The sequence below is a fragment of the Homo sapiens genome, chromosome 1 (assembly GCF_000001405.40).
Source record: "Homo sapiens chromosome 1, GRCh38.p14 Primary Assembly".
NCBI lineage: Eukaryota > Metazoa > Chordata > Mammalia > Primates > Hominidae > Homo > Homo sapiens.
In genome coordinates this window covers 216,677,583-216,703,291 of record NC_000001.11, presented here as the reverse complement: position 1 = coordinate 216,703,291, position 25,709 = coordinate 216,677,583, and the positions used below count along the sequence as shown (strand labels likewise).

The 25,709-nt window shown below is 36.9% G+C and overlaps 1 protein-coding gene across 56 annotated transcripts in view, besides 1 other annotated feature; it reads left to right on the top strand.

Annotated features, from left to right (window-relative positions):
- The window catches only part of ESRRG (estrogen related receptor gamma), a 634,457-nt gene that overhangs the window by 434,411 nt on the left and 174,337 nt on the right, over positions 1-25,709 (top strand). For 4 of the 56 annotated variants that reach the window (XM_047449392.1, XM_047449391.1, XM_011509271.3 and 1 more), the window contains one exon: positions 21,266-21,396. The exons of 49 other annotated variants lie outside the window; for them this stretch is intronic. In XM_047449392.1, coding sequence (XP_047305348.1) covers positions 21,395-21,396 — 2 coding nt within the window. In that variant the 5' untranslated portion in view covers positions 21,266-21,394. Of the gene's footprint in view, positions 1-1,782; positions 1,868-11,204; positions 17,211-21,265; positions 21,397-25,709 lie in introns of those variants that run through there. 3 more of the 56 variants (XM_047449393.1, XM_047449390.1, XM_047449401.1) reach the window with 3 other exon arrangements.
- Positions 22,095-22,264: an enhancer, noted in NCBI's record as "experimental_4384 CRE fragment used in MPRA reporter constructs". NCBI's record gives its function as "activates a minimal promoter by MPRAs in K562 erythroleukemia cells, with activity observed for the non-introgressed 1:216854455 variant allele {active_cell/tissue: K562}" and the evidence as "EXISTENCE:reporter gene assay evidence [ECO:0000049][PMID:34662402]".

Genomic DNA, 25,709 nt, shown 5'->3' with positions numbered 1-25,709 from the left:
TATCATAGTGTTAGTGTATTTCATATGTGGCCCAAGACAATTCTTTTTCCTATGTGACCCAGGAAAGCCAAAAGCTTGGACACCCCTGCACATGTTAGTTGTTGGTTAACTGCAAGAACAGTAGTTGGCTCAGTATTTATTTGACAACTTCAGGGAACTTCTATAGATATCTTGAGACTCCTTAGATAAACAAAGTAATTAAATGTTTAAAAAATCTTTTAACTGCATCTATACAAGAATACTTAAGCTTTTTTCTCATTGCCTTGATTGGTTTGTATTCACCACAACTCACAGTGCTGATTTATTATTATTTTTTTAAAATTTAAGATATACTGGCAAGAATCCTCCTGAGCACTCTTTTCTTTCCTTTTTTATTCTGCTGTTAGGGTATTAGAATTTCTCTGATCGAATATGGACAGGACTAGAATACTAGAATAATTCACATGTACATGATTTCACCAACTCATGTGCTTGAGTCAACTTTGCCTGGAATATCTTTTTTTTTTTTTTTTTTTGAGGCAGAGTCTTGCTCTGTTTCCCAGGCTGGAGTGCAGTGGCGTGATCTCGGCTCACTGCAACCCCGCTTCCCTGGGTTCAAGCGATTCTGCTGCCTCAGCTTCTCGAGTAGCTGGGATTACAGGCATATGCCACCATGCCTGGCTAATTTTCTTTTTTTTTTTTTTGTATTTTTAGTAAAGATGGGGTTTTGCCATGTTGGCCAGGCTGGTCTCGAACTCCTGACCTCAAGTGATCCACCCATCTCGGCCTCCCAAAGTGCAGGGATTACAGGCATGAGCCACCACACCTGGCTTGCCTGTAATATCTAATAACTTACTTTATCCTAAGATCACATAAAACATGTATTTGTTTTGTTGGGGGAAGTCTAGAGTGGGTTTATTTTCATAAAATGGGAACTGAAACTTAGTAAATGAGCATGAATCAGCACAGCCTACTGGCTGTGAATGTCTCTTTTTGGCCTCTTATAGATTTCTTTCTTCACCCTCTCTCATAAGACTAGAGAATCTATAATCTGGATGTTAATTTTATTTTTATTTGATCAGCGTTTTCATCAAAGGTGTTATTTAAAGGAATAAATGTCACCTTTTAAAGAAAGCTATGGTCTAACTATATGTAAGAAATTTTAAAAGGGAGATATTATAATTTGTCAAGGAGATACCCAGAAGAAAATTAATTAGCGATAACTACTTGCTTTTAAGAATTCTGACTTTATAATTATCTAGCAAATTGGTAAGTCTAGTGATTTCATTAGAACCAAAACATAAATAAAACAAATGTGAATAAAAGCCTTTTTGTAATATATATTTCAAAAGTAAATCTCCTTTTAGTGGTTCTTCTTGAAATTTGCCATTGACAGTTTAGTCAAATCAGCCATATTTATGATAGTCTGGCTACTTTAAATACTGCTCTCTAATAGCAGTTATGGTGTTTTTAATTATATGGGATAAGTAGCAAATAGTAGCATCCATGTTGCTTCTTAATAGCCTCCCATAAAGAACTTCATTATCAAATTCATAGGGAAGAAGGGAGATGCAATAATAAATCATGGGCATTTTTATGGATTCATAAGTCAGGAGGTAAGGTGACCATTTGGGGTTTCCCCAAAGCAAGGCTAATAAATAGGGTGGTATTTACTTAAGCACTGAAGACAGTCAGCATGGCCTGGTGATCTTTTGTTTTGGGATGTCACAGCTGGTCCAGGCATAATGCCAGATTCCTTTGTTTTCTTAAAACATATAGATTAAAACCTAGTTGTATTTGCAGGAGAGAACCCCTGGCGAGAGAGGAGACAGGTCTGCTGATGAATGCAAACAGAAGGAGCAGCATCTGTGCATAGAGGAACGAAGCAGTTAAGAGAAATCTATCAGGTCCTTTCTGCTACCGTTTCCTGACAGGATCTCACAGAATGTCAGACTGTTAATCTCAGGGTCATACAGTAAGGATGATATTGGGTGCAGGTTTTAAAAATAATGCACTTTATTTTGGGAAGCAAGATAGTGTGGTGCAGACTATGAGTTTGAAAGCCAGAGAAATTTATGCTACTGCTTAAAGGATGTTAAGTCTAGCGATTTCATAAAATAGCATGCAAAAAATGCTTGGCAAAAGCAGGCACTCAATAAATATTTCATACCCCCCCCAAACTCCGCAAACTTGCTCTTAATAATGGGGTTGTTAATAGCACTAGAAGGAAAGTACAAAACTGAGATTTTACTTCTCAAAGCCAAATTAGCTTCTTACCTCAACCGACAAATTCTGAAGTCGAAATGAGTCATAATAAGGATTAGTCAGGGAAGCTTGAATTGAACCTATTTCTTTTGCATGTGTGACTCCTTATCAGCCTCACACTACTTATAATTGCTGGATTCACTTTCTGAAATTAGCAAAGGGGGAAAGCAAAGTAAAGACAGAAACCTAACCACTCACTGGTTTCTTCTCTGCCTAGAGTGTTAGGGTAAGAATACGACTATGAAAATATAATATTTTCTGATATTAAAGGAAATGTCAAAATAAAACTATAAGTCACCTACTAAGGGTACTAAAGGAGAAAGTGTAGACTCTAGCAGATTACACTGAGATTAAAGATATTTGAAGAGGTTCTCATCTTCAGTTTCTCCTATCTTTTGAAATGCATAGGAATACCATCTTTCATACTAATCCAGTAAACAGTACTATCTGGCTCTGATGTTAGGAGGCCTTTACGAACCTTGTTACCAGTAGTACGAGAGTCCAGCTTATATGTTTAAGAGTGAGCAAATGAGTGCGTAAGTGTGTGTGTTTGTGTATGTGTGTGTCTGAGAGGTGGTCCTTAATCTATTTCAGGTGAGTTTCTTGAAGGACAGGTTAAATCAACTGAATGAGCTGATTTTATCATCCTGTGGTGATGTTTTATTTATCTGATAAAATGCTTAGAAAGTACTTAATTTGTCACGGAAACATCTTGCTACTGTATATTTGCTGAATGTGTGATAATATTGCCATGATACAGGTGGGAAAATGAAGTTTTTTAAAAGTGAAAATAGCCAGAGTCTTCCTATATTTCCATCAGCTCATTTTTACTCAGACTTCCCTCTTTAAAAGCAACAACTTTGCAAGACTCCCCGCTTAATAGTTAAGCGAGGTATCTAAGCTAGTGAGGTTAAAAAAAAAAAGGTGCGGGGCTGCGGGGAGTATAATAGAAGCAGCGGAGATGAGGTAGTAGATGTTGGTGCTTCGTTCTCTCTCTCTGGACCAACGATGACTGATACATCCATTAAATTTCAGCCCAGGCTGATTGACTGAGTGGATTTATATAAATTAAAAAATGCAGGTCATATACCTTTTCTGATAGACTGTAAATGAGAAATAGGAATTCCTTTAAACCTCAAAGGAGGAAATCCATAGGCGAGGCTTTCTAGTCAATAAAGCTCTACAGCATCACTCTTCTTGCTGTGTTTGTACAATAAGTTTTAGTTAATAGACAAATATTATGCCAGCCTCTCCCTGACTTTTTCAGCAAGAGGTAATTTGTAAATTAACTCACATGGTGTTGAAGGTTTTCCAGCTTTTGTTGCAGTTTGAACTCCTGCATTTTAGACATGAAGGGGGCAGAAATCATCCCTCGTTCCATTTTTTTTTTCAGTGTAACAAGTGAAAATGGCATTAGTTAAGGAACAATGACTTATTCACACCCATTCTCTCAGCTCCATGTCCATTTGTCCATTGGAATGAGCCACTTATCATTCTTCCAGGTTTTTCCTCTTTCAACATCAAGAGTTATGAAAAGAAAATTCCATTTTTTTCTGGCCCTCCATGACAGGTAGACTGAAGATTGTGGTCATTTGGTTTAAAAACATATCCATCATTACCAGCCGGCAGGTTATTATGATGTCTCCTTTGAATATATGAATTTCATACACTGCATGTTGGAAGTCTAAGAATGCCAACTTTTTAGATAAATAGTTATCCCATTGGTGATGTACAGCACACTGTTGCCATATTTTCTCACTTTTACAGCATTCTTGCCCTTATCACCCATAATATAAATCTTTTGCTTTCATATTTAATAAAACTACTAGGTAACAACCCCCTGTACTCAGTACAATCAACCAATCACACACCATCATTTGGCTATCATTATTTGTTTTCTTGTGGCAGATATTTTAGTAGCTCTATAGTTTAAATGTGACAGCATATTTGATACAGCAATGCAGGTAAATAAGCAGATGACCTTATGTACGTGCTGGCGATGGCCTCAGCACGCAGCCCTCAGCCTCGTGAGGTTCCAGGGATAGAAAGATAGATGAATGAATAAAGTTCACAACATCAGTCAGCATTATAACCTGAACTGGCTAATCTGTCAGCCAAAATTTGGAGAGTGGAGAGAAATATGTACATGTGGGCGTAGGCTAGGATGAAAGTCGCCATTTTTCAAGAGATTGTTTTTCCTAAAGCTCAGTTACCTGAGGCACAGACGCTTTGGTTCCTTAGACACTGGAGAGAGGCATCTCTTCGATAGAGGTTTCTGAAGTGATGAAACCAAACTCCTTACTTCATTTCCATTTCTTTCTCTGACACCCCGTTAGTTTATTTCTTACTATCGAAACCATCATATTGTTTTTTTAATCTGAAAAGTTAATGCCTCTATACTCACCGTTGCTTACTGTTTGGTTTGTGATTTTCCCATAAAAAAAGAGGCTTAGTTATGAGCAGAGTTTGCATGGGGACCTATGTGCTCCAGGAGGAAACTTGCAAATTTTTTTTTTTTTTTTTTTTTTTGAGACTGAGTCTTGCTCAGTCGCCCAGGCTGGAGTGCAGTGGCGTGATCTCGGCTCACTGCAAGCTCCGCCTCCCGGGTTCACGCCGTTCTCCTGCTTCAGCTTCCCGAGTAGCTGGGACTACAGGCGCCCCCCACCACGCCCGGATAATTTTTTTTGTATTTTTAGTACAGACAGGGTTTCACCATGTTAGCCAGGATGGTCTCGATCTCCTGACTTCGTGATCCACCTGCCTCGGCCTCCCAAAGTGCTGGGATTACAGGCGTGAGCCACCGCGCCCCGCCAAAACTTGCAATCTTATACATCTAACTAGTTAGCTAATATGTAACATTGGCCAAGTGTTTCATGAGATGGATTGCACTAATTTTTCCTTTCCCGTTTTCCCTCAATAATTCCTACTGAGCATTGGATAAGAACAATAAATATCCCTGCCATGTCTAATTCCCTTCTGGAAACTGAACAGATGAACTGTCAACATCTTAGGGGCAAACGGAGGGGACAGGGGCTTAAGTCTCTAGGGTGTGGCCAGCAGCTACTGAGGCTGAGAAGTGTTCATACCGTGGATTGTTAAAGGAACTCCACAGAGAAGTTTCCATGGCTCTTGGTTGAGACTATGCCTTTATTCATAGTAGTCATTTTTATTTCCAGAAGTAGTGACAGATAGGTTTCACACTATCTTGATCTTGTCTTATTTTCCTTGTGTTTAGTGGCTAAGATGGTTGAATGTAGCTAAGCAGTTTTAGAAGTTGTCTCCACATTTTCCCCTGACCTGTGTTAAATTAATTGTTATCCACATGGAATCTGATGGAGGGCTCTAACCTCGTTAGTTTCTTGCATAACTTCCACACAACCTTAATTCTTAGCATGGCTATTTTGACCTTCCCTGAAATTCACCACATTTTCCTTTGGAAAAAGACCTCATTATCACAGCTAGCACCATGCCTTGTGCTTCAAAGATACTCATAGAAGATCTGTGTGTTGACTGAATTAAAACTGCTATAAACACCTAGCATAACCTCTTAATCTCAGGTACTGAGAATTAAGGAAATCATTTGGTATAACATTGTGTAAATTGATGAAAGATTGGTAAAACTCAGACTACATTACTAAAGTGCTTAAACAAACACAAATCACAACAAATCTCACAAATTGAATAACTTTTTGTGAGTATTCCAGGTAAGTTTGGATTTGTATTACAAAATCAGATGCAGATTTTAATACTTGATTATTCCAAAAATTAAACATGATATTTGGGGCCAGGTGCAGTGGCTCACGCTTGTAATTCCAGCACTTTGGGAGGCCAAGGCGGGTGGATCACTTGAGGTCAGGAGTTTGAGATCAGCCTGGCCAACATGGAGAAACCCTGTCTCTACTAAAAATACAAAAATTAGCCAGGCATGGTGGTGCACGCCTGTAGTCCCAGCTAGTTGGGAGGCTGAGGCATGAGAATCACTTGAACCCGGGAGGTGGATGTTGCAGTGAGCCAGGATCATGCCACTGCACTCTGGCCCGGGCAACAGAGTGAGACTCTGTCTCAAAAAAAAAAAAAGATATTTTATTCTACAAATTTGTAGTAGTACTTTAATTTTGCATAATGCTTTAAGCTTTTCAAAAGATTTGATACCTATTTTATCTTGTGAGTCTCAACATTTCTGTACATTAGATAGGATAGGTATTAGTACCCCATTTTATTTAACAGATGACTGAGGCACAGTGAGTTAATTAATTTATATTAATTATACATTTTAATACAGTTAATTAATGACAGCAACTATTTGGCCAGGAAGTTCTAATATCTAGCTCCAGTTTTCCATGGTGTGAAATAAGTCAGCTTCTCCTTATTAGAAGACTCTAATTCTGTACCAATTAGGGAGTAACTATGATATAAATAATCTTAGTATGTTTTATTATCCTATGATATAAATAATCTTAGTATTTTTTAAGTTGCTCTGTAATTTTGACTTTTCAACACTATTATTCTTTGTTCTTGGGCATTTATGAAGGACTAAGTTACCTTTTTTGTTTTTATTTTAATTTGGTCACAGTTTTGTTATTTTGGGGTCAAATAGTCAAGACAGGTACATCATGGCACTTACTGAGTATACAGTTGTTTAAGAAAATTAAAGAATAAAAAAATCTTTAGAAGATTAAAGTGTTAAACATACGTATGTCTACAGTTGACATATTAAGTTGGCTGCTATAAAATATTGATATTAAATCTTTGAGGTACAGCATTTTGTAGTGCAGAGTGAAGGATTTCAACAGAAAATTTAAGTTTGTTTCTGGTTCAACTACAGCTTTCTTTCCTCATCTGTAAAATGGAGATAACACTCATCTTACAAGGTTGTCTTGAGAACCAGTAGGGTTGTAATTTTTTTCCCTCAGAGAAAAGAAAAAGAACAAACTTTCCATATATCTTTTTGGGACATATAAAATTATATCAGTATTTCTTAAGAACATTATTTTGAGAATTCACCATACACTGTGAGATGTGGTGGCAGAAGAGAGAATCATCCAAGCATCTATGCCAGCATCTTCAACGATCTAGGTTGGTGTAAATACACTTTAGGATGTTCTCATAAGGAAATTGCCTAACAGTAACTTTCCCAGAACATATCCTTGTTGATAAATAACACATGGCTGTATACATGCAATGCTTAATGCTTTGTGAGTCCCCATGCTAACCACCTTTTCACACTGGTGAAATCTTCATGATCTTGACTTCATGGTATCTAGAATCAGATACTCATGATTCTATTATTTAAACTAATGCCATAAACATATATTTCAGACATAGAAACTCATAAGATCAGGTTCATAACATTAGTAAACAGAGATGATGTGTTTATTTGATGTGATGCTTTGTAATTCATTCATTTACTTATTCAACAAACGTCTCTTAAGTGACACATTTATTAAGTAGCTGACATGAACTCAGCATAACATGAAGTACTGGGGATACAAAGTCAAATATGATCTATAGTCTAGCCCTCAAGGAAAATGTTAATTAAAAAACTTTTTATTTTGAGATAATTATAGACTCACATGAAGTTGTATGAAATCATAAAATCCTGTTTACCCAGTTTCCTTCAGTTGTAACTATTTGCATAACTATTGTATAATATTACAACCAGGTAATTGCAGTTCATGGACTTCTCAGATAGCACCAGTTTTACTCATATTCATTTGTGTGTGTGTGTGTGTGTTTAGTTCTACATAATTTTATCACATATGAGATTTTTGTAACCACTTCCACAGTTCAAGAAAATGATCAGCTCCATGACAAAGCATTAATTTGTTTTTATATTATATAATATATTAAAAATCGTACTTTGTCAAAGAAATTGTAGCTTGACTAATTATTATATATTATTTGTAGAATACTAGGAGTGCAAAAACCTCCTCCGATGATTCCCATAATATTCATCTCCTTTCTTTTCATTCTCTTTTCCACCATCTTAGTTCAGGCCTTTTCCTCATGATTTATCTTCATTATAAATGAAGATAATATAATAGCTTCATAGTTGGGCTGTAAACACCGAGTTCAAAGATGTGGTCTGTTTTGTTTACCAGGTTATAGGCTTAAAACATGATAGGAATGAATGAGTGAATACATGGAAAATGCTGGAGCCAAAACAGTGTTTAACAGAAACAAAAAATGGGCCAGGTGCAGTGGCTCATGCCTGTAATCCCAACACTTTGGGAGAGACCGAGGTGGGTGGATTACTTGAGTCCAGGAGTTCAGGACCAGCCTGGGCAATATGGCAAAATCCTGTCTCTATTTAAAAAAGAAAAATTAGCCAGGTGTGGTGGCACGCACCTGTAATCCCTGGTACTCGGGGCTGAGGCAGGAGGATCACTTGAGCCCAGAAGGTCAAGAGGCTTCAGTAAGCTCTGATCACGCCACTGCACTCCAGCCTGGGTGACAGATCGAGACTGTGTCAAAAAAATAAAATAAAATAAAATAAAAAAGAAAAGATAAGAAAAAGAAAAAAGAAAAGAAACACAAACTGGCTGATTTCTTTTTTCTCCTTAGTTACCTTCAGTAGCTTCCCATTACCTACAAAGTGACATCTAATCTAGGTAGTGTGATATTTCAAATCTTCTGCAATCTGGCCCCAATGGACTTCTGAACCCATTTCTGATTCCATATCCCCTACAGTATTCTTCAGCACCACCCCCTCCTACATTCTCTGAGACTACTCCCTGCTTTCTCACTTTGGGGATCATCCTCCTTCACCCTAAAATGGTATTTTTCTTCCTTGCTCAATGATATCCTTCTGATTTAATGCAAATAATTTTTATTTAATCTTCTTAACATTCACAATGAGATATACCTTCCATTTAACAGCTTTAGCAACCAAGTCTTGTAGATACCATGTCAGAGTTTACCTTTAGCAAATGACAGTGCTGGTGAACTCAAAACCAGGCCTTCCAGTTAAAAATCTTATAATCATTTTACTACTTCACACAGCAGGTTTTTGGGTTTTGTTTTGTTTTGTCTTCCACAAAATTGTTTTTCTATGCTTAATGCTTTATTTCACAGATTCTTGAGATTGTATGAACAACACTTTTATTTAGGAAATGTGTGATCCAACATTTAAAGTCCACAACTTTTTTTGTGTGTGAATTCATGGTTTGTTCATTTACTCAACAACCCAGGAACAGGGTTAAATAGAAGTATAAAACAATTAATTCATAGAGGAAGGATGGAAACATAAGTTTGTACAGTCATTTCTCCATGTCTGTGGGCTCTGCATCTGTGGATTTGACCAACTGCAGATAAAAAATATTAGAAAAAAAGTATGATTGTATCTGCACTGAACATGTACAGACTTTTTAATTGCCATTATTCCCTAAACAATACAGTATAACAACTATTTACGTAGCATTTACGTTGTATTAGGTATTACGAATAATCCAGAGATGATTTAAAGTATATGGGAAGATGTGCATAGGTTGTATTCAAATACTACATCAATTTATATATGGGACTTGAGCATCTGTAGACTTTGGTATCTGACGGGGGTCCTAGAATGAATCCCCCATGGATACTGAGGGACAACTGCACATTAAAAAGGATGTTAAAACTGGATGTGGTGACTCATGCCTCTAATCCTTGCACTTTGGGAGGCCAAGACAAGAGGATTGCTTGAGGCCAAGAGTTCAAGACCAACCTGGCCAACATCGCAAGACCCCATCCCTATTTTTCTTTAATTACACACATAAAAAATTTTTTTAATTACACACACCAAAAAATTTTAAATTACACACACAAAAAAAGATGTTAACTGTAATTATAGAAATAGGCTCATAGTATTATGAGCCTAAAGGAAGGAGTGCCAGGAAAGACTTGCTGAGGAAATAATAACCGAATTGTACTTTTACTGATGAATAGAAGTTGCGCAGAAAGTGTTGCCAAGGGCAAGGAAGTTGAATTCCAGAGAGAAGGAAAAGCAGTGTGAAAAGCTGATTAGCATGGGGACTTACAAAGCGTTAAGCATTGCATGTATACAGCCATGTGTTACTTATCAACAAGGATATGTTCTGGGAAATTTCTTGTTAGGCAGTTTCCTTACGTGAACATCCAAGAGTGTATTTACACCAACCTAGATCATATAGCCCCCTACACACCTAGGCTATGTCATATAACCTAGAGGCTACAAATGTGTACAGCATGTTTCTGTGCTGAATAATGTAGGCAATTGTTACATAATGGTAAGTATTTGTGTATCTACATAAGGTACAGTAAAAATATAGTAAAAAGGATAAAAAATGGTACACTTTTAGAGGACACTGAGCATGACTGGAGCTTACAGGGCTGGAAATTGCCCTGGGTGAGTCAGTGAGTAAATGGTGAGTGAATGTGAAGGCCTAGGACATTACTGTATCCTACTGTAGACTTTATAAACACTCTACACTTAGGTGACAGTACATTTATTTAAAAATTTTCTTTGTTCACTGGTAAATTAGCCCTAGCTTACTGTAACTTTTTGATTTTATATAAACTGCTAAAATGTTAAACAACTTTTTGACTCTTTTTATCATAACACTTAGCTTTGAACACAAACATGTACAGTTGTACTTTTTTTCTTAATATTCTTACTCTATAAGGTTTTTTCTATTTTTCAGATTTTTTTTTTACTTGTTAAACTCTTTTGTTAAAATCTAGACACACACACACACACACACACACACACACACACATACACTAGCCTAGGCCTACACAGGGTCAGGAGTATCCACATCACTGTTTTCCACCTCCACATCGAGTCCTACTGGAAGGTCTTCAGGGCGGTAGCATGCATGAAGCTTTCATCTCCTATGACAACAATGCCTTCTCCTGAAATACCTCCTGAAGGACCTGCCTGAGGCTGTTTTACAAGTAAATTTTTAAAAAAAATTTTTTAATAAGTAGAAGGAGTACACTCTAAAATAATGATTAAAAAGTATAGTAAATACATAAACCAGTAAAGTAGTAATCTATTATCATTATCAGTACAACATACTGTACATAATTATATGTGCTATACTTTTATATGACTGGCAGTGCAATGTGTTTGTTTACACCAGCATCACCAAAAACATGTGAGTAATACATTTCACTGTGACGTCACTAAGTGATAGGAATTTTTCAGCTCCATTATAATTTTACAGGACCAGTGTCGTATTTGTGACCTGTTGTTGACTGACGTGTTGTTACATGATGCATGATAGTTTAAGATACAAGGCTGAGGTTGAAGAGTAAGGCCAGGTCAGCTCAGGGAAGGCCAGGTCTGGACACCCAGATTAAAAGACCTGGTATCCTGTAGCATGTGTGAAGCCATTGAAAGGGATGGATGGTGAACTTGGCCAGATTTGTCTTCAGGGATATACAGTTTTATTATTCTACAGAAACCCCTTTTCAGGAAAACATGAATTAGCTGTATAATTATGTCGTTTCTCCTTAATACTAAATGCTGTAACCTTTGTGTGTGTGAAAGTTAAAGAAGGCAAGAAATGTGCTCTATGATTTATTTCCTTTCCTGCTAAGGAAAGTCATCTAGGTGTTACTACATCAGAAGCATTTGGCAAATTGGTGATAAAATAATTTTTAAATTTATTCCAGTTGCTATGCAAGTTTTCTTACCTGGTAGCCTCTTAGAAATTATACATTTCTTTTGAAATGTATCATTTTACCTAGTCAGGTTTCATATGTGGTATTTTTCTCCCTAATACGTTCTACTTTGTATGTATATACTTATAGCTTAACCATATTTTAAAAAATCAAATGACTATCCTCTTTTTCTTATTTCTACTTCCTAAATCCTGCATTTTTCTTTATTCTATATTCTATAGCATCTACTTCCTTATTGCCAAAGCCAAACCAAAGGAAACCAAGAAAATGTTTAAGCCTACCTTGACTGGCTTACACTGACACATTGTGACTACTCACACATTGCAGATTTCCTAAAGCCATTTTATTATTGGACATATTTTGAGGGAAGAAAATGGCAAATGAAGGCAGGTTAGCTTTCTTTTCTTCCAAAATATACACATAAATGCATTTATGTTATGTTTACAGTTGCAAGGATTTTATAAGTTTTTAAAAACAGAATATGAAAAGCATTTTATCATTCAAGTCAGTGAAATATTTTTCACTGCAGGCCTTAGTTAAGAAAAGAGCTGGCCTAAGAGATGGAAATCTGGACTTTGAACTGGGCTTTGCCTGTAATTCTGGGAGTCCTTTAAAGTTCTCTCACTTCCCTAGTCCATTGTGTGTAAATGAGAGGTAGAAGTAGGCACTGATAAAAGAATATTCTAGATCTGGTTATTTACGATCTGGTACAGGGCATAGGAATCAAGGAAAACTTCTGGTAATGCATAGTTATTATGTTTAACCCATTGTTTAAAATTTTTTTTAGATTACCTTTTAGATACAGTTTACAACAAGACATATTTTCTGTGCAGTTAGATGGGGTTTAACAAATATGACCCATATAATTCATAAAACCACCAGCTTCCCTATGTTCCTCTCTAGGCAATCCTCACTCCTTGCTCCAGAAAACCACTGTGATTTCTATTATGATGATTAGTTTTCCTTGTTCTGGAACATCACAGAATTTTACAGTATATATTCTTTTGCATCTAGCTTGTTTTACTTGGCCAGGATGTTTTTAAGATCTAGCCATGTCATTGCATTTATCACAGTTCATTTCTTTTTATCTTTGACTAGGACTCGTTTAAGCACACACACATGCAAACACACACACACACACCACACACAGGTATATATTTCATAATTTGTTTATTTGTTCATCAGTGATGGACAGTTGATTTGTTTTCAGCTTAGGGCTAATATTATATTATAAATAAAGCTGTGATACACATTCCTAAGCAGTTCTTTTTGTGGGGATATGTTTTCACTTGTAGTGAATATCTAGGAGTGGAAATGCTGTGTTATGGTGTCCATTTAACTTTATTAGAAACTTCCAAACTTTTTTTTCCAATTTTATACCCTCCCAGCAACATATGTGATTTTCAGTTGCTGCACATCTTCCTCAGCATTTATTGTTGTCGGTCTTATGAATTTTAGCCTCTCTTATGTGTGTGAAAAACTGAAAATTTTCTTTAATTTGGAGCTGAAATAGGAACTCTAAAAATTATGGAATACATATTATAATTTAGAGATATCAGAATTAGCACATTACTTATTGACCTTATGTTTTTTCATCTGTATAATCTTTAATCAGTTATATTTGTTTATGACATCCATTGATGTTTTTATAGGGAGTGTATAGATAATATGTTTGTGTGTGTAGGCATATTTATTCAGGTCTCAAGTTTTTTGTTTGTTTCAGTGTTATAAAACAGTTTATCTTCTTTCATAATCTCCCATATCTCTTAAAAATCAGGCTTTTATTACCTCTAATAGTTGAAATCCAAATTTTTAAAAATCCAAAAAATCCCAAAATTTTGGATTTTAAAAAAATGTATTAAGATACTACCAGTTCAGCCACGGACTTTACATGTTAAAGTCTTCTCTATAAAAATGTATTTATGGATGATAATCAGGCCTGTGATAAATACAAATTTTATATCACAGTCTCTCCAATTATTTCTGAAAGTAAGGGAATGATATTATGTAACCTGGCTGATGTTCTATAATACTGGGTTAGAGAACAAAACGGTAATTCCTGTAATGGTCATAGGAAACTTAGGTAGTGAGCCAGTTGACTAAATGTGTAATCAAAACTCACCCCAGTATTCACATGGTACCTTTTTTGCATTTTGTAATGGATGCCTGTGGATCTTTATGTACTATTGCCTTTAGAGATAACAAATTTCCACAGACTTGGAAAGCAATAAAATACATTTAACACTAAATCTTTACTGAGCATAGTTTAATCTTTCTCTGATGCAGAAAGCACTTTCTAATTTTATAGTTCTGCAGACTCATTATTGCGAATGCCAGTTATTATATTGGCTAAGAGTAGAAGCAATGGCGAATCAAAAGGATGTGCTAATAGAATCTTAGATTGAGGGAAGTTAATGTGTGTTTACCCATATGCATCTCTGTATTTTAAGATATATATAATTGTTTTCCATTTCTATTTCTCCTAGGTTTTTCCACCAACCCTTCTCCACTCTTTCTGAATATATACACCACTCTCTCGAGTTTCCTTACCAAAAATACAATTTCAGCTTTTCTCTGTATGAAAGCGATGACAAAGTGATTTTATAGCCAGTTCTGAAAGTGACTAAACTTGACAAAAATTGTATTTTATGACAACCTCTGCTTTCATGTCCCCGGCCTACTTTTATATCATCTTTTTTTTTTACCCCAAATATGAACAATTTCATATCTCTGCATTGGCTGAAAACAAATCCCCTTACCAGGAATACATTTTAATGGAAGAGAGCCTGCTTCACATAAGTCACCAGAGCCTTAACATCTTAACTCTGTAATATTCAATTTCTCACTCACTGAGAACCAAAGCCTTGTTTTTTGTTGTTTTATTTTTGTTTTGTTTTTGTATGGTTTGTGTTCATAAAGGTTGGGGAAGAATTAGTATTATGGAACTAAACCAGATTAAGGGGGAATGTGAATTAGATTTGGTAACAGATGGTGCTGTGGAAATTAAAGGTTCTTTGCGAATGGAAGCGACAGCAGCTTGCCTCTGTTCTCTCTGTCTCTCGTTCGTGCACTTGATAGACGGGTATAAATCACAACAATCCTGTCTTGACAGCCAATTTCGAGAATTTGATCTGGTTAAAGACATGGCTTTCCCGCTCCACTCACTGAAACCTGCTTCTATTTTATTTTTACACAGCACCTTGTCATATTTAGAAAAGCAGGCTCGCCTGCTTTCTCTTAATGAAATTTTTTTCTTAATTACAGTTTTAGCTGTTTAGTGTTAATTACTTTTTCATTCAGCCTGAATTTTCATAATATCTCTCAGGGATTCTTTTTTCTTTTTTTCTCACCCTTTTCACCCATGCATATTCTTTTGTTTTTTTTCCCAAAGATCCTTTTCATTGTCAGAAGTTGTTGTCAGAGGCACTATTTGAGACACCTAATTACCAAAGTTATTATTTTTAAGGAGAAGGACTTTGATGTGATGTAGTAAAGTTACCAAATCAGAAAAATTTTTTTAAATGCCAGAAGCAATCACCAAAACTAGCACTGATTTCAACAAAATTTCACAAAAAGGTGAATGACAACACTTATTTTCACCTAATAAGGGCTGCAGAAATATCTGTTCTGTTGGCTAAAATAAACCCCACCATGTAAAAAGACACGGCCACAATGTGGCAGAACCACTTCATGCCTGTGTTGACCTTGGAGTGGTCTAGAGATTCTGAATTAAAATGCAATCTTCAGATGTAGGAGACGCTAAATGAGAGACCAGGAGCACTGAACAAATTGCATGGATCCCTTGCATCCAGATTCTCAGATCTGACAAGCTTAGGGGCCAAGTACTAAGGTTTCCTCTTACAAATCCACGTGGCATTTGGGCTTCCGACATATCAAGGAATGGTAAATAGAAGAGAGGGAAAAAATCACTCCAAAAATGAAGAGAAGATTCTTTGAGCGAGCAACTAACAGTTGGTAGAAATGAAGCTTCCTACTGGCAGTCAAATCAAATGTAGTAACAACTCAACAGCTCCCCGCTGCTTGCTGACAGCGTGGTGTCGCACACTGGGACAAACATTCACTTAAACACTGATTGCAGGGAATTGCCCTTCCGCCAACGCCTCCCACCAAAAACGTAATGAGCAAAAGCAGAACCATTTCTAGGAAAAAACCAAGAGTCCCATTCCCCAGCTCCCCTAAAATGATCACGTCTCTGTCTGTCTTTTTGTAGCCCACTGGGAGTGAGTCTTCAGTTGAATGTGGTTGCTGCAGTTTCATTGTTATGTAGCAAGTTGCTTAATTATTCTCCTGCAACACACACACAGACATATACTTCACACACACACACACACACAGACACACACACACACACACACGGGCCCTGCCATGTCCCTGAATGGTGACTCAGTGCAGTGGCAGCAAAGGAAATGGAAGTTTGGGAGTTTGAAGAGTGCTCCTCGGTGCAATAGTCCTTGCTCTCAAGGTCTAACCAGACTTACAAGCCAGTGTGTTTTTTATCTGAGTAGAATATATGGTTTTTAAACAGGGCTGAAGTTGTTTACGAAACACGTAGGCAAATGCTCTCATTTTATAAATGAGAAAACTGAGAGTCAGGGTGGTACAATGACTTGCCTCAGGTTACACAGTGCCTGGATCCAGAGCTAGAACCCATGTCTCCTACTCTGTCGAATACTACAAGAAGTCAGGGCTCCCTGGGAAAGGAGAAGAGAAGAAAAGCAAGCGGCAGAAACCCTGGTATAGTCTTTTTTTTTAGTTGATTTTTTAGAATGGCATTTTATATTTAGAAATTTTTCTCTGCATGTTTGCATTTGGACTTTTGAATGTGACAAACGACAAGCAGGTCCTGATTTGAACTCTTGGCTTTTCAGTGGCTTCTACTGGCTTCACTGGATGCTATGTTTCTGCTGAATAATCCTTTCTTTTTTTTTTTTTTTTTTTTTTTGGTTAACAATACCTGTCATGCTACAAAATAAATCCTTAGTCATTTCCATGGCTTGAATTAAATATATATGCAGATATATGTTATTTTCCCTTGCCTGCAAATAGTGGCTTGTGTATTTTAGCTTTACGTTCTCTTCAAGTAACTAGCTTGATGAAATGTTTATTTAAAAAGAGGATAGAGGAGGAATTTTTAGGATTAATAATTAGCTGAGTTCCCCTCCTCCCTGTCTCCCCACTACTCTCCTACTTCAGCTGGACAACACCTGATACCAACAATATAATGTCACCTCTGCTATAGATCACCCAAGACCAGCTGCATTTACATCCAGATGTTAACTACTGCAGACTAAGCTATTAAGGTAAAAATATAAATATAGTTTAACTGCTACCCAACAGATGGGGTTTATTATCTCTGATTGTGCTGCACATCTCCATCTAACACAGAAATTTTCATATGTGCTTGAAGCAACCTTTATTTCAACAATGATTTCCTAGCATTTAGATTTTCTCAACACTGTGATTCACTCAGTTGCAGAGTACCTTTTAGAGTTCCACTCCTGGTGAACTGATCTATGTCTATAGAAGCAGCTGGTTTATTGGTCATTGTAATTGCTTTTGCAAAACATTATCTTAATGAGTAAAGAATGACATCAATACTGTGATCTCCATATCCTTATATCAACTTGTGATAGCATTTGCATTTCCTCTTTCAGTATAGCAGAGAATAGGAAAGGGAAGTTCAGGAAGCCTGAGCTTTCATTGACCTCGATTTGATTTGTGAACTCCATCACTGGAGCGTCTGTGAGTAAAGCATCTATATTCAATGTAATTTGTAGAGATCAGTGCATAGACTTTCTATGAGTTGAATGTCTGTTTATTTCTTCTCTAGTGCGGTGCTGTGGGAAGGTCTTCATTTAGCTGTCAGTCCCCTTCTGTGTCGAGTTCTCTTTGGTGTGCTCCTTGACTGCTTGAAAACAGAATTGTCTGAACACAAGCAAACTTTATTGATCCATATTTCTGTTTGAAAGACCAGAGATTTGTAGAAGTAGGAGACTATTGCTTTCCCCTAGAAAGCTTACTGCAGAGGAGGTCTGCTCATGGCATAGTAAACCTCTAACACTGAATAAATGTTACATTCAGCATATATTGTAAGCTTCATTTTAATGATTTATCTTGGGTACTTTTTTTTTTTATAAAATCTCATAGAAACCTTTTGTTTTAGTGGTGGTGTCCACCCATTGCCTAGGGCTGTTAGACTCTACCCTGGGCATAGTGACCTGGTCAAGACTGGGACATGTACTACCCAAATGGTTGACTATAGCACACTGTTCGAAAGCCCTTCAGTCTTTAGGCTTTTGGTTCGCAGAAGAGTAACTTGTGTAAAGTAAGAAATATTTTCAGGGATTGGAGACAAAATGCTTGTTTTTCCATCTGCTGTGCATGTTTGTTTCCGTCTAGGAGGTTTTCGAGATTCTCTCTTCGGATCCATTGGCGTCATGTAGTTGAGCAGTTGTGAGGATATAGTTAATTAAGCTGCATTAGGGCAAATATACACACTTGTTAAAACACTTAATTTGCCTCAATAATATTGATTACATGGCAGAAGTTTATTTAAACTAAATGGTATTTCCCCCCTACTGTTACAGTTTTTGAGTGCAATCTGTATAATAGCTAATAGCCATCATCAGTTAAATATCATGTTAGTTATAAAGTAATGTCATAAGAATTGATTTGGACTTGGCAGTGGAGGAGAGCTCTCCCTTCAAAGCCGATGTAGATGATTAGCCAGAGTTTTAAGCAGAATCACGGTTCATATAAACTGTGTATATTTTATAGACTTATAGCTGCTCTATATTACATGAGTGCCCATTATATTAAAGAAAAGCTCAGATGGTTAATTATGCAAAACATCATGTATGCAATTACTCGGCATTATTATGCATTTAACAGTTTTATTGATTTGTCAGTAACTCACTTACTGTATTTAGAGCCATAAACAAGAGATGCTCACCCCCAGATTGAAATAGGTCCAAGAAAACAAGCTAAGGATAAGTTGCACTACTAAGCGCCTCTGCATCAGATCGAATCCTTAAATACAGAAACTGTCAACAATCATAATGTGCAACACATTGTGATATCACAGGACCATTTCTTTTCCCATTAATAAAGTTTATCAACCAGGAAGCATAAGAAATCACCTGGCAATACAAATTGAAGCAACTGCAATTTCCTACATCTAAAATAGTCTGGATGACTTAAGGAAATCAGCAGTCACTTCCAGCTTGCACAGCATAGTAAAATGGGATGCTGCTGTGTCCACAGACACTTACACTACATACATACTTGCAACACCCCTAGTCCTAATTAGTTTAGTCGATCTTATTAGTGCATTTCTTTTGCCATATTTCTGGGCCTCCATTGCAAGAAATGAATTGTCTCCATTTCAAAATCCCTTATATTTTGCAAGAGTGAAGACATAGGATTCTACAGGTATCTTTATATGTCAGATTGAGTGACAAACCATCCTGGTTTACCTCGGATTTAGGGGTATCCAGGACATGGGATTTTACTACTAAAACCAGGATAGTTGACCAACCTAATATTAGAAAAAAATTAAATGAGAAAGGACCATTGAACTCTACAACCCTAAAAGCAGATAGGGTTTCAGTGAGGTCCTGCTGTTAAGAGTTTGGTCAGTAGGTATGAAATTATAATGCATGGGACACTTTTATTTCGATGATCAGCCAGAAATGAGTTGAAGGTCTTGATTACTTGTACTGAATTTCCTTTTTGCTTGCAGCAGAGAGCCTTTTACAGAGTTGGGAGAGCTTTCAGCTCTGATTTTTCTTTATAGGGGGCTGGCTCTATGTCCCCACATTACATAGCTCTATCTCTTGTCAGCAACTCAGGCACCAGCTTTGAGGGCAGCTGTTTTCTTACTCTTGTTCTTCATGGAGTAAGCTAGAGAGAGTCTTTTGAACTAAATGCACAAGTTATTTGTTCAAAGAATCAAGAAGCAGCATTACTAAATCTAAATCATTCTGATCCTGGTATACAGAAATCCATTCTATTAGATAGGGCTCAATTTTTATTAAAGGAGGCCTTAAAATTATACAGAAGTATGTGTGCATAAGTTGTCCATGTGTTTTTATCTTTCTGAGCGTGTGGGTCAGGATTCACAATTCTTTCTTTACAATTAATGATCTCCTTCCGTTAGGTTAACCAGGCAGACCTTAAGATATTTCTTATTAAAAGAAAAAATCCTTTCTCTTCTTTTCCCAACTAAGCCAGTGTACCTTAATGCAATGATGATATGTTAGACCCAGCAGTTGTCAAAGCATCGTATTACTGTGATGCCATAATGACACCCTGTCTCTGTAAAGTAGTCATGTTTTCTCAAATCACACGTTGCACCGTTGATTTCTGACATGACACTTCATTCGGTTGCTTTCCCTTTCTTCAGCATCACCATTCTCTGACAATAGCAGCTGGTGCCCATTTTGTTACTAAGTGATTCACATTTTGCCACTTTACGAGAGTGCAATTAGTTGAAGCAGGGGGGAAAAAAGCTCATTGTAAAGTAGCGTGCTTGAAGTTGTAACTCAGGCTGCCATGGGAGCTGCTGGGGTCATGGGCTCTGAAGCCTGTACCTCCGGGAGCTGCAACACTAGTCTAGAGGTTTTCTTCTAAAAGCATAAAACACACACACACACACACACACACACACACACTATAGAGTATTAAGAGCTTTTTATTTTTTAAAACACAAATACTTAAATATTTAATCTGGTAATTTCAGAATGTAGAAAATCAACCAGTCCCCATAGATTCATTTTTGTTTTGAATCAGTAGTGATTAGGTGGTGGGACTTGATAACCTTCTTTTCTGTCCCTGAAATTCTGTGATTCTGATGAATCACACAGAGGAGCTGAGGACTCTTCTTATCTCTGTATTTGTATGTAAACTTGGAGATTCGCTGCATTGTGTCCTTATACAAAAACATTGGAAATAAATTTTTAAAGCATTTGGAATTTATAATGATGATGATTACCTTTCCAGGCCCTTAAGGATGACAAAGAAGAATAGAAATTGTGTTAACTTCTTTAATTGACATTTATTTAGCCTACCAAAGCGTTTACTATTGGTATAGATATAGTAAAAGTTGCAGAAGATATTGCCTTAGTATAACACATGAGAAGATCTAAGATGATCTGTACACACATTCCTTATGAGAATTTTATGCACCCATTTTCCCATTTATTTCTCCATTTGTTTTAGGGTGGAAATACAGTAGCAAATGAATTCAAGATCTGTGTAAAATTCACATGATGAAATACAGCTGCTTGTTAAGAACTTGTATTTCGGTGAAAGGGTTAATAATGTATAACCCTATGGAACATTATTGTTATTCCAGAGTTTAACAAATACAAGCACTGGCTGAGCTTCAGACCTTCCATCGAAATGCAGACCACTTTGAACATCAGCACGTGCATGTGGGAATTCAAACTCCTGACGGTTCATTCACGATCACACATTTACCTGGATGTAGGTAGAATCTCCGAAAACAATTAAGCTTGATAATTACAATAGAAATTGAACATTAACTTACAGATTATCCTTTTCTCCCCCACAGCAGCAACTTTAATTCTTATTCTTTCTTTCTCTCACTCTCTCTATGTGCACACATATACACACCATTAATTAACTTTCAAAAATTACTTCTTTAAATAGTGAAACAACTAAGACATTTTATTTGGCTGATCATTAGTATCTAATGCCAAAGATAATTTTCACCCTTGCTGACCCTAAGCAGGGCTAGGAAATGACATCCTAGGTTGAAGTATGATCATCAGAATTATTTGATGCTGTATCTCAAACTGTTTTGAAATGCTTTTTAAAGTCCTGAAATTTCAGGTAGGCTGTTAAATTCCTCAAACCTAGTGTCTCATGCAGGAAGGGGAACATCACACACTGGGGCCTGTTGTCGGGTGGGGGGAGCAGGGAGGGATAGCATTAGGAGATATACCTAATGTAAATGACGAGTTAATGGGTGCAGCACACCAACATGGCACATGTATACATGTGTAACAAACCAGCATGTTGTGCACACGTACCCTAAAACTTAAAGTATAATAATAATAAAATAAAACCTAGTGTCTCATATAGAAACTAAAGGTTATTCTTGACATTGTTATTTCCCCCTCTAGTTTATTCTCAGGGGGTTCATTCAGAGGTTTTGGGAAGGGAGTTAGTTAGCTGGTCTTGCTCCCTGTTCATCTCACCATTTCTCTTAAAATAATAATAGTAACCATACTAAGGCTTTAAAATAAATATTTCCCACATATTTCGACACATGTTATTTCTATTCATAATTCTTAACTAAATTTAGATTTTTATTAATCCAATGTGACTTAAAATTTCTGCATTAACAGCACAATGTGGAATTGGGCTTATTCTCTTTGGCTACAGATAAAGCCATCATTTTGAAAATGGCTCTTTCTGACAAAAAGGTGTTCTTTTGAAATAAAGTCCTATTCACTACATTCCTCTTAGAGTTAATGTGAATTTTAGTGCCTCTAATTTTAGATTGAAGTGAAGTCTAGAATAAAACCCACCAGCTGACAATTGAATTTATAGATAGTTGTGAATATTTCAGACTTGAATAATAGAGCTGTAGAATTTCAGAGACAGAGAGGCAGAGAATTAAGACTCGCTGTAGTTTTAGGTTATAATATAATAGTGTCTAGGAAGTGTTCAGTGTAATGAGCTAAGTAGTAATTAGGAGACAACTGTGTTGGTTCAGAGATTCTGTTTAGGTGTCACTGCACACCCTGGGTGGGTGATGCAGTAGGGCAGACCTGCAACCAGCCAACCAGCGCAGTGGCCCCTTCACCCCTTTTCCACTTATGCGTGGGCTGTGGATATAATTGCTGAGAAATAAAAGTAGTAGATCTCTGCGTGCCACCTCTACCTTGCTTGCTTGCTTATTTATTAAAATTGAGTAAATAAACACCATTAAAAACTCTGTTGTCTTCAAGACATTTCTGCTCTGGTCTTTGAAGTCAGGCCTGAGTTCAGATTCAGGCTGTACTGCTTCCTAGCTGTATGACCCTCAGCAAATTTTGAAAGGTCTGAGGCTCGGTTTCCTAAAGAGAAATACCTCCCTTACGAAGTTATCTTGGGGATTCAATGAGGTAATATTTGTAAAGTGCTCAGCTCAGTGCCTGGCACATAATAAGCACTTGATAAATGGCAATTCTGACTTTTATTATTTCCACTGGGCAAAAGATATTAATTAAGGAAACAGTTCGTGGCAGGCCAAAAACACGTACAACCTACAGCACAAATCCAGTTGGTTCACTTTCATGTATGGCTCCAGTGGCCAGACCTTGTTTAGGAGAAGACAGTGCTTCTGTTTTAAGGACCTTTCTGGCAGCTTGTACGTCCCGAATTTCCTTGTTTTATCCAGCCTATTGCCAAGTTATGGACTGAGATTTTCGATGAGACAACTTGCTGGAGAGTCCCTATTTTTCAGGGACTTTAACAACATGCATTTGACACATAAATATTTGATGGCTTAGCAAATAACTGATCCATAAATGGGAGGGCAATTTCTGGCCTTGTTCTTTAAATCAAGAGTTCTGCAAATTTTGCAAGTCCATGAGGAAGAGCCTGAAAAAAAGAAAATTGGGGTGAAAGTGACCATGGAAGATACAGGAAAAGAGAGAGAGGGAAAAAAAATTTAAAAAGAGGGTCTGAAGATCAAGCAGCCCCAAGCAACTCTCCTCTGGATAAAAAAAAAAAAAAGAAAAAAAAAATTCCAAATTAAAAAACGGTGCCTTGTAGGCAGATGGTGAAAGAGTTAATTGTCATAGCTGTGGGAAATTCAGTGCTGGAGAGAGGAAAGGGGAGCAAGCATGGTTTAGTACCCTAAAAACTTCTAACTCTAGTCTAAGATCATAATGTATGTGCCCACAGTCCAGTAATTATAAGGTAATAAGTGAAGTGGTGGTGTAAGTGCTCTAAATTAAAAGGAATTCACAGGGCTGCTGTAAGTCAGTGCCGACCCGCTTTCTTTCAAACGATGACTTGAGGAAAGTGCTTAGCCCAGAGTGCTAAGGAGACAAGGAGAGCGATCTATTAATTACAACGTTCATTAACAGTGACGGGTACAAGGCAGCAGATGCAGAAGAGAGAGGACGCCGTAGTTCAGGCTGGCGAGGGGGATATTTTTTTCTTTCGCTAGTTCTTGAGGAAAGGACAACACAAGTGGGTGGGCGAAAGTACGAAGATATTTTCGTGGCTTTCGCCTTCCTATTTGCTTTCTTCACATCCTGATACTGCTTGACTTCAGAAAGCTGTGCAAGATTTCTCAAAGTGAAATATCTTTGGTAAGAGGCAAATCTTGCCTCAACGCTTTGCTCCTGAGACCGCCTTCTTGGAACAGTTAAGTGAAACTTCCTGCCAGAAAAGTTCCATATTTTTCTTCATTTTGAAGTAACAGAACAATGGAGGACCTGGAGGAGGGCATGAAATTTGTGCAATGATCAAATATCATTAGATTTATAGTGAAAGAGATAATTGCATCCCTTTGGTTATCCTGTGATGAGTCCCCCAAATTCTAGTGAATGACCATTACCCAGAGGGATTCCCATAAATCAATTTTCCACTGGGAGGCAATTATCTAAGTCCCTTTCTTGACTGTCACCTCTTCTTTCTGTAGTGGGCTCTCAGAAGCTTCTTAGACATTTTGCTAAACGAGGTTTTGCACAATGGCTAAATGAAAAGAAAATAGGACCAATTATATCTTTTCATCTAATTACCTTTCCAGAAATTCGGTCACTTGTGAGAACAACAAAGAAAAAGGGATGAAGTGTTTCTTCTAGATAAGAGAAACAGTGTGTCAGATTAGATGTTTCATCATTTTTCCTTTTAGGAGGTATAATGTTAAATGGCAAAAAGAAGTGGGGGAAGGACCATCACAAATATATTTTTTAGGACAAAATATGCTACATTTCTACTTTACTGAATGTAAATATAACATCAGATTTTATAGTATCAGATAATATACATATAATATCAGATTTGTGGACTTACAGGTATACTGAAGGCTCAAATGGCTTTTACTGATTCATCTCTTAAATAATGGCAAATCACACATAAGAAACACATGCACGTATTTATTAATGAATGTTGGTGATGAGTCACTAAGTTTTGCAGGCTCTAGGAATAATCTTTAAATATTGGCTGGAATTTTATACTTGATGTCTTTCTATATTGCCAAATGGCTATGAAATAGAGCAATTTAAATAAAGAAACAAAGTGATTGAGGATATATTCCCTATGTGTTTTAGTCAGATCAATAAGACACAGTTATGCTTATGGAAGCGTGCTGACAAACAGTAATTACAGAGCTGAGGATCATCTGTTCAGTCTTGAAAATAAAAGTTTTATTCTGCTCATAATAAAATGATTGCAGCATCAGAATGAGGAAGGAAAGGTAGAATGAGGATAAATACAATTTTAGAAATGGTATAGACTTTGCAAATCACCACCTCTTCCATTGATAAATTTAGAATCTAGAGTTGAGTTAGATATTGACACTGGTTCTCCAAGAGAAAGGTAAAATAAAAGCAATCGGACTCTTTAGAGCTTTTGTTTATGGCCTGTCTGGGCCCTTTGTTGTAACCCTGTCATGCCCTTATGCTGATTACCTTCTTGTAGAACAAGAAGTATTGACTAGAGAATGAATGATGTGTAGTCCCTAGCCCTTAGGAAACTCTCTCAAAGAGCAATGTCTTTAACATATGAATTCTGTTTTTTTCCTCCTTTTACCTTTCCCTTTCCCTTTCTCTATT